Here is a 9299-nt window from a genome sequence, read left to right as displayed (position 1 = left end):
TAGTAGAGACGGGGTTTCACCATGTTGGCCAGCCTGGTACTGAACTCCTGACCTCATGATCCGCCTGCCTTGGCCTCCCAAAGTGCTGGGATTACAGGCATGAGCCAACGCGCCCAGCTGGATTAAATTTTTTTTTTTTTTTTTTTTTTTTTTGAGACAGAGTCTCGTCCTGTTGCCCAGGCTGGAGTGCAGTGGCAGGATCTGTACTCACTGCAACCTCCACCTCCTGGACTCAAGCAATTCTCAATTCTCCTGCCTCAGCGTCCCGAGTAACTGGGATTACAGGCACTCACCACAAAGCCCGGCTAATGTTTGTATTTTTGGTAGAGACGGGGTTTCACCATGTTGGCCAGGCTGATTTCGAACTCCTGACCTCAAGTGACCCACCCACCTCGGCCTTCTAAAGTGCTGGGATTGCAGGCATGAGCCACCATGTCTGGCCTGGATTAAATTTTTTTAAAGGTATGTAGATATCCTAAATACATCTCTGGGAAAATGTCCCCTAAACCACCCAAGAGTCAGGGTACATAGAATCAGGATAGAAAGCTTCATGTCTAGGATTAAGGACATGGAACTGACACCTGTATTAGGGTATCTGTCCATCCTTTCCACAGGCGTGGATTTCCGGCAGCCATATTTCTGTCACATAATACTGTTAATACCGGACTGATTAATTGAATCAAGTTGGATGCAGGCCCCAAGTTGGGCCAATCAGATTATCTCCTCTGGAAATTTGATACTGAATGATGAAAACCAAGCTAGTCTAGCTCAGTGGTTCTCCACCAAAGGCAATTTTTGCCCACAGGGGACACTGGCAATGTCTGGAGCCATGACGATTTTCACGACTTGGAGGTGAAGTAGAGTGGCTGCTACTGGCATCCAGTGGGTAGAGGCCAGAGGTGCTGCTAAACACCCTACAATGCGCAGGACAGCCCCACGACAAAGAATGACCTGGCCTAAAATGTCAATTGTGTGAGGCTGAGAGACTTGGCTCTAGGTTTGAGCTCTAGGTTTGAGCAAGGGAAGCCAACAAAGTCAACCATAGAGAGAGAAAAAAATCAAGAAGTTGCACAGAGGGGCTGAGCTTAGACACAGCGAGTTTTCTAGTGCCTGATTCCAGTTCCTTCCAGAGACCGGACTACATTTTTGCCCCTTTATTCTTCTAATAAATTGTCCTTTATACCTAAGATAGCTGGATGTGGTTTTAGTTAACTTGTAATCAAAATCACTTTATTTATCTATTTATTTGTTTGTTTGTTTATTTAGAGACGGAGTCTTGTTCTGTCGCCCAGGCTGGAGTGCAGTGGCATGATCTCAGCTCACTGCAACCTCCACCTCCTGGGTTCAAGTGATTCTCCTGCCTCAGCCTTCCGAGTGGCTAGGACTACAGGCGCCCGCCACCATGCAGGCCTAATTTTTGTATTTTTAGTAGAGACGGGGTTTCACCATGTTAGCCAGGTTGGTCTTGAATTCCTGACCTCAGGTGATCTGCCCACCTTGGCCTCCCAGAATGCTGGGATTACAGGCGTGAACCACGGCGCCTGGCCCAAAATCACTTTAATTAACACAAGAAGTATTCAAGTGAATGACTAAAGTGACCTAAGAAACACTAAGGCCTGGGCAGCTTAGAGATCACTCTAGTCTTTAAGATGATACAAAGAAATTAAATGAAATAGTCAGTGGTCATTGCTTATCCATGATAGTCGTGCTAGAATGAGTTGAAGCTTTTTGAAGAGCAAATGCATGTAAGACATGCCTGCACCATGCTTACCAGCCTTTTGGGAATCAGGACACCTGGCTGACTTGCTCTGCCACTATGCACAAGCCCCACTCAATGCCACCAACTCCGAGTCCTTCTATACAAAGCGCCTCACAGAGCTGCTACTAATTACACACTTCCAAGTGATTTCTATTGGAATTGTATTTTCTATTTCCATGTGTATATCAGGTTAGGTGCTGATTTCATTCCCCCACGTACAGAAATTCAATAAACGTTGTGTTCTATGGCAAATAATATAGTTTGGATATTTGTCCCCTCCAAATCTCATGTGGAAATTTGGTCCCCAGTGTTGGAAGTGGGGCCTGGTGGGAGGTGTTTTTGGATTGTGGGAACAGATCCATCATGCATGTCTCAGGGCCGTCCTCACGATCATGAATGAGTTCTTGTTATTAGTTCCTGCAAGAACTGGTTGTTGAAAAGAGACTGGCACCTTTGTCTTTCCCTTCCTTCCTCTCTCACTATGTGATCTCTGCACATGGCACCCCTTTGCCTTCTCCCAGGAGTGGAAGCTTCCTGAGGCTTCACCAGAAGCAAATGCTGGTGCCATGTTTCTTGTACAGCCTGTAGAACCATGAGCCAAATAAACCTCTTTTCTTTATAAATTACCCAGCTTCAGGTGTTCCTTCATAACAACATAAGTGGACTAGAACTGCAAGCCACTGGAAATGGTCTTTAAAAAAAAAAAAATTCAAGTGTAAAAAAATTTATCAGGCAGCCTCCTGAACCAGAATAGGTTCAGAGCAACTCCTGGAAATGGTCTTTGATACTCAATTTTTTCCCACAAGTTATTTTTTCCTTTATCTAAATTGAAGAAATATTGTGAATGAATTCATTTGTCTACATGTATGTTTTCTTAATCATTTCGGAGTCATTGACCCTTTTGGGACAATGGAGCCTGTCTCTGAAAATAATGCCCATCCAGTACAATTATACTCGAGTTAGGAACCCCTGCATTAAATACTTTTTCTTTTTCTTTTTCTTTTTTTTTTTTTTTTTTTTTTTGAGACAGAGTCTTGCTCTGTCACCCAGGCTGGAGTGCAGTGGCACGATCTTGGTTCACTGCAACCTCCGCCTCCTGGGTTCAAGCGATTCTCGTGCCTCAGCCTCTCAAGTAGCTGAGACTACAGGGGTACACCACTGCACCTGAGTAATTTTTTGTATTTTTAGTAGAGATGGGGTTTCACCCTATTGGCCAGGCCGGTCTCAAATTCCTGACCTCAGGTGATCTGCCTGCCTTGGCCTCTGAAAGTGCTGGGATTGCAGGTGTGAGCTACTGTTTCCGGCCCACTAAATACTTATTAACTGCCTACTCTGAGCTAGATGGTGATGGAAAAAAAAAAAAAGATGAATAATGTAGAGTTCTACCCCAGAGCAGCAAACACCCAGTTACAAGCCAGGGTGATACATGGTAAGAGAATACTATGGGAACCCGGCATAAAGGAATTTCATCCAGATTAGGGGATCCAGGAAAGATCCCTGGGGGCTGTGACATGTATACTGAGACTTCAAGCAAGTAGGAGAAAGCAAGGCCCACCCGAAGGATGGGGGCAGGGGTGGGTACATTCCAGACAGAGGGGAAAAGCATGCAGAAGGGAAAGAGCATGGCAGGTGCATGGAACACAGAAATGTTTGGTGTAGCCCAGCCAGTCATTGGTCTGTTAGTTCCCAGCTCCATTCTTGGTTTCGTCTGTATATCTGGGACTGAGAGCCTGCAAAACACATTTCCCAGATCCCTTTGCTAACTGGCTTCTGGCTAGGTGCTGCCAATGGAAGGTACTGGTGGAAGACTGGAGCCAGGAGGAGGAGAGACACTAAGTCCCCTGCTTTGGTGGCACTGCCACCAGTGGTAGTAGCCACCCCAATGAGTGGGGACCCCGGGGCCCAGCAATAGCTGTGGCAGGAGTCACTTCAGTAGCTTCAGAGACAGAAGGACTCTGGCAGTGGCAGTAATGGTGGTGGATGACTTCAGGTTCCACTGGCCTCAGCAGCACAAATCATTGGGAAACACAAGCGCAGGGCAACAGCAGTTTCCCTCTTGCTTCAGCCTAGAGTTTCAGGTAGTTCTACATCTGTGGGCAATGTTATTTTTTGCCACTCCAGCTCTTTCAACAGTTTTGAAATCAATTCCCTACATTATCTCTGTGTAAAATACTTAAAGTAGTTCATGTCTTTCTGACTGGATGCTGACTAATACAGCAACTGAATCAGAAACTATGATGAGTAGTTCCAGCTACTTGGGAGGCTGAGGTGGGAGGATCACTTAAGCCCAGGAGTTCAAGGCCAGCCTGGAAAACATAGTGAAACCCCATCTCAAAAAAAAGAAAAAGAAAAAAATGAACATGGTGAGGGGTGGAAGAGGGTTGCAGTGAGAGATTTGGTGGAATAGGTAATTCACTCAAGTTCATGTTAGGAAACGACCAGGTGTATGGACTTTATCCTAACAGCAGTGGAGACCCATGAAAGATCTTAAAGACATGGTCAACTTGGTCACTTTTGATTTTTATAAAGATCACTTGAGCTATAATACAGAGAACAGGTTTGAGCCACCTGAACTGAACACCAAATGTCCCAATAGGAAGCTGGGGCCAGGATCTAGGAGAGAACTTGCTGGTCTGCACTCGGGTTGTGGCAGTGAGGTTGAAGAGAAGGGACTGGAAGGATTTTTATGAGGTGGAATGGCCAAAATTTAATGGGGTACTGTGGCAGATTAAAGATGGCTACCACTGGACATGGTGGCTCACGCCTGTAATCTCACCACTTTGGGAGGCTGCGGCTGGCAGATCACTTGAGGTTAGGAGTTTGAGACCAGCCTGGCCAACATGGTGAAACCCCATCTCTACTAAAAATATAAACATTAGCTGGGTGTGGTGGTGTGTGCCTGTAATCCCAGCTACTCAGGAGGCTGAGGCACGAGAATTGCTTGAACTTGGGAGAAGGAGGTTGCAGTGAGCCGAGATTGTGCCACTGCACTCCAACCTGGACAACAGAGCAAGACTCCATCTCAAAAAAAAAAAAAGATGGCTACCAATTTATTAATACTCTTCCAACGGAGAGACAGGCTCTACAGTTCTTCCATCTGAATTTTGGTGTGCTCTGTGATTGCACTGACAAACAGAACAAGACAGAAGTGACTCTGGGCCAGTTTCTGGGCCCAGGCCTTAAGAGACAAGCAACTTCCACTTCTTGTTTCTTTCAACACAACCACTCTGAGAAGTGCAAGCCAAACAGAGAGGCCACGCATAGCTGCTCTGGTTGACAGCCCCAGCTGAGCTCCCAGCCGATGGCCAGCCTCAGCTGTCAGCCACGTGGTTGTGCCATCTTGGATGTCCAGTCCAGTAAAACCTTCAGATGACTGCAGCCCAGCCACTAACTGAAGCCATCTGAAAGCCCAGGCAATTACCACCTGGGTGACCCATTCGATCCGTAAGAGATAATAATATGTTTTTTTTTTAAGCTGCTATTTTTTTTTTCAACTTAAGCCACTAAATTTTGGGGGTGGTTTGTACACTAGAATAGAAAACCAGAATAGATGTGGAAGGAGAGAGAGACAGCAGAACCAAGGATGATATCTAGAATTCTGGTTTGAGCAGAAATAAAGACTGGAAGTAGGGCTGGGTGCTGTGCTCCCACCTGTAATGCCAGCACTCTGGGAGGCTGAGGTGGGCGGATCACTTGAGGCCAGGAGTTCAAGACCAGCCTGGACAACATGGTGAAATCCTGTCTCTACTAAAAATATAAAAATTAGCTGGCCATGGTAGCTGGCGCCTGTAATCCCAGCTACTCGGGAGGCTGAGGCAGAAGAATCACTTGAACCCGGGAAGCGGAGGTTGCAGTGAGCCAAGATCCTGCCATTGCACTCCATCCTGGGCGACAAGAGAAAAACTCTGTCTCAAAAATAAATAAATAAATAAATAAAATAAAGACTGGGAGCAGACAAACAGTTTTTAGGGGATGGTTCTGGGTGAATGATCATAAGCTAGGAAATATATATTTTTGGAACTATATTAAAATTCCTTTCTAGAGATCCCACTATGTTCCCTCTGCAGCATTAGCTATCCAGGTTTTACACAGGTTTATGTTTTATAGATACCTATCTCTAAGACTCTTTAAAATATTAGTTTTAATATCTCTTCCTAGAAGAAAAGTTGTATTTCTCCAAAGTATCAAGAGGAACTGGGGCCTGGCGTGGTGGCTCACACCAGTAACCACAGCACCTACGGAGGTTGTGGTGGGCAGACTGCTTGAGCCCAGGAATTCAAGACTAGTCTGGGCAACAAGGTGACACTCCATCTCTACCAAAAATACAAAAATTAGCTGAGCATGGTGGGCACATGCCTGTACTCCTAGCTACTCAGGAGGCTGCGGAGGGAGGATCACTTCAGCCCGGGAGGCTGAGGCTGCACAGAGCTATGGTTGTGCCACTGCACTCTGGCCTGGGCAACAGAGTGAGACCCTGTCTTAAAAAAGAAAAAAGGAAACTAGTACCAATATCATCATATTCAGTCCTTGTTGATCTAGGGCTCAACTTCCAAGTCCCCTATTCATTTGTCAAATATTTACTCATCCTCTACTAGTTGCTCAGCCCTTTACTGGCTGTCCAGGCTTCATATCCCTGCCCCTATGGAGTTTACATCCAATTTGAAAAGCAAAGAACAAGTGAAGAAAATAATTACCCCCTCTAATAAGAGCAGTGAGAAACAAGCAGGGTACTGATAGAGAATGATGGTTGAGGGGAAAGCTGAGACCTAAGGAAGTGGAAAAAGTTAGCTGTATGAAGAAGTGCAGGGGGAAGTGAGGGGTGGTAGCCATGGAACCAAGAGTACAAAGGCCCTCGGGTGGTTGAAAGCTTGACCAGATTCTAGGAACCGAAACACATGCATGTTTGGGGTTTAATGATCAAGGAGCCAAGGAGCACTAAAAAATAGAGTTGGAGAGACATACAGAGGCTAGATTAAGGTATTAGGTCATATTTAAGGATTTACAATGTATCCCTTTTTTTTTTTTTTTTTTTTTTGAGATGGAGTCTTGCTCTGTCTCCCGGGCTGGAGTGCAGTGGCGCCATCTTGGCTCACTGCAACCTCTGCCTCCCAGGTTCCAGCAATTCTCCTGCCTCAGCCTCCTGAGTAGCTGGAATTACAGATGTGCACCACCACACCAGGCTAATTTTTGTATTTTTAGTAGAGACGGGGTTTCACCATGTTGGTCAGGCTGGTCTCGAACTCCTGACCTCAGGTGATCTGCCTCAGCCTCCCAAAGCACTGGGATTACAGGCGTTAGCCACCATGCCTGGCTAGGATCTACAATGTATTCTAAGTACAAAAGATATACAGAAGCCTGAACATGATCTGATGCGTGTTTTTAGAAGATAATGGACAGAACAGATAGGAGAAGAGGAAAAAGAGAGGGAAAAAAGCCTGTTGAGAAACTGCCACAGTGATGCAGGAGAGAAAAAGATGGTCTGGGCTGAGGTTCGCTCTCATTTTCTTTCCTTAGATTAAATCTCTCCTTTTCAAAGGGCAGATGGATGCTTAGTAAAAACAGATCAGCAAACAATTATTCCCATGTACCCAAGTATAAATAAGACTCCATGGATTCCTGCTTTGCATAAAGGTTTGAAATATTTTATTTTATTTTTTTTTTGAGACGGAGTCTGGCTCTGTCACTCAGGCTGGAGTGTAGTGGCGCGATCTTGGCTGACTGCAACCTCAGCCTCTCGGGTTCCACTGATTCTCCTGCCTGTCTCCCGAGTAGCTGGGACTACAGGCATGTGCCACCACACCTGGCTGATTTCAAGATTTGAAATATTTTAAAGATTGATGGTGTCCTGGTTTGATCTTGGGTTTTGGCACCAAAAAATAAAATTAAAAATAAAGATTGATGTTTACCACTCATCTTCACCAACCAACCTACTTCCCCTAAACCTAAGGTTTCACTGTAGCAGGAACTACCATCTGTGGCATGAGATCAACTCAACCAATTAGTGGCTTTCAAGCCTCTTCACCTTAAGCAGTATTTGTCATCTACAAGTTCCCTTGCAACTGGAATGGGTGGGGTGGAAGATCCAAGAAAAGCACAGAATTTTCTTTTTTTGAGACAGGGTTTTGCTCTGTTGCCCAGGCTAGAGTGCAGTGGCATCATCATGGCTTGACCTTCCTGGGCTCAAGTGATCCTCCCAGCTCAGCCTCCTGAGTAGCCAGGACTGCAGGCTCATGCCACCATGCCCAGCTGATTTTTTTTTTGAGACTGAGTCTCGCTTTGTCACCCAAGCTGGAGTGCAGTGGCACGATCTTGGCTCACTGCAACCTCTGCCTCCTGGGTTCAAGCAATTCTCTGCCTCAGACTCCTGAGTAGCTGGGATTACAGACGCCTGACACCACGCCCAACTAATTTTTGTAGTTTTCGTAGAGACGGGGTTTCACCATCTTGGGACGGGTTGGTCTTGAACTCCTGACCTCGTGATTCACCCGCCTTGGCCTCCCAAAGTGCTGGGATTACAAGCGTGAGCCACTGCACCCAGCCTGCCCAGTTTTTTTTTTTTTTTTTTTGAGACGGAGTCTCACTCTGTTGCCCAGGCGGGAGTGGAGTGGCGCGATCTCGGCTCACTTCAGCCTCCGTCTCCCGGGTTCAAGCGATTGCTCTGCCTCAGCTTCCCGGGTAGCTGGGACTACAGGCACGTGCCACCATGCCCGGCTAATTTTTGTATTTTTAGTAGAGATGGGGTTTCACCATATTGGCCAGGCTGGTCTCAAACTCCAAACTCCTGACCTTGTGATCCGCCTACCTCAGCCTCCCAAAGTGCTGGGATTACAGGCATCAATCACCGTGCCCGGCCTCCAGCTAATTTTTTTTATAGGGACAGTGTCTCTGTTACCTAGGCTCTACAGCACAGGCTGGTCCCAAGTGATTCTCCCATCTCCCACTCCTGGCCCCAAGTGATCCTCCCATCTCAGCCTCCCAAAGTGTTAGGATTACAGGTGTGAAGCACTGTGCCTGGCTCAGGTACAACATTTTAGATGCACTCAGTCCGTTAAGGCTTAGTCCAGGTTTGATTGTTATTGTCCTTCTGTTGGGCCATAGGGCCTGTACTGTGAACTAAAATGAACTTCAGTGTTAAGTAAGGAAGGGATCCTTATTAGCCTTAAATTCAATTCCCTTATCTCAGTGTCTTCAAGTTTCTCACAACTCTTGAGTATCGATAAAATAGTCTTCACCTAAAACATGGTTAACATAATTCAGTTGACATGCTTAAATTTCTCTTCAAGAGCCAGAGGCTGATGGCAATTGTGAAAAAAGCTCTTTATTGTTATTGCTAATAAAAAAAAAAGGGCCAATAGTCAGGTGTGGTGGCCTGTACCTCTTGTCCCTGCTACTGGGGAGACTGAGGTGGGAGGATGGCTTGAGCCCAGGAGATCAAGGCTGCAGTGAGGCATGATTACACCGCTGCACTCCAGCCTGGACGACAGGGTGAGATTGTCTCAGAAAAATAAAGAAAAAGGGTTATTTCATATTGGTTCAAAAA

General features: G+C 46.0%; 3 annotated features.

Moving 5' to 3' along the window:
- Window positions 5189–5238: an enhancer, noted in NCBI's record as "active region_2931". NCBI's record gives its function as "activates an Ori minimal core promoter by ATAC-STARR-seq in GM12878 lymphoblastoid cells {active_cell/tissue: GM12878}" and the evidence as "EXISTENCE:reporter gene assay evidence [ECO:0000049][PMID:35858748]".
- Window positions 6337–6456: an enhancer, noted in NCBI's record as "active region_2930". NCBI's record gives its function as "activates an Ori minimal core promoter by ATAC-STARR-seq in GM12878 lymphoblastoid cells {active_cell/tissue: GM12878}" and the evidence as "EXISTENCE:reporter gene assay evidence [ECO:0000049][PMID:35858748]".
- Window positions 6477–6546: an enhancer, noted in NCBI's record as "active region_2929". NCBI's record gives its function as "activates an Ori minimal core promoter by ATAC-STARR-seq in GM12878 lymphoblastoid cells {active_cell/tissue: GM12878}" and the evidence as "EXISTENCE:reporter gene assay evidence [ECO:0000049][PMID:35858748]".

The sequence above is a fragment of the Homo sapiens genome, chromosome 10 (assembly GCF_000001405.40).
Source record: "Homo sapiens chromosome 10, GRCh38.p14 Primary Assembly".
Lineage (NCBI taxonomy): Eukaryota > Metazoa > Chordata > Mammalia > Primates > Hominidae > Homo > Homo sapiens.
Note: the sequence above shows the minus strand (reverse complement) of the source record. Positions and strands in the feature narration are given on the sequence as shown.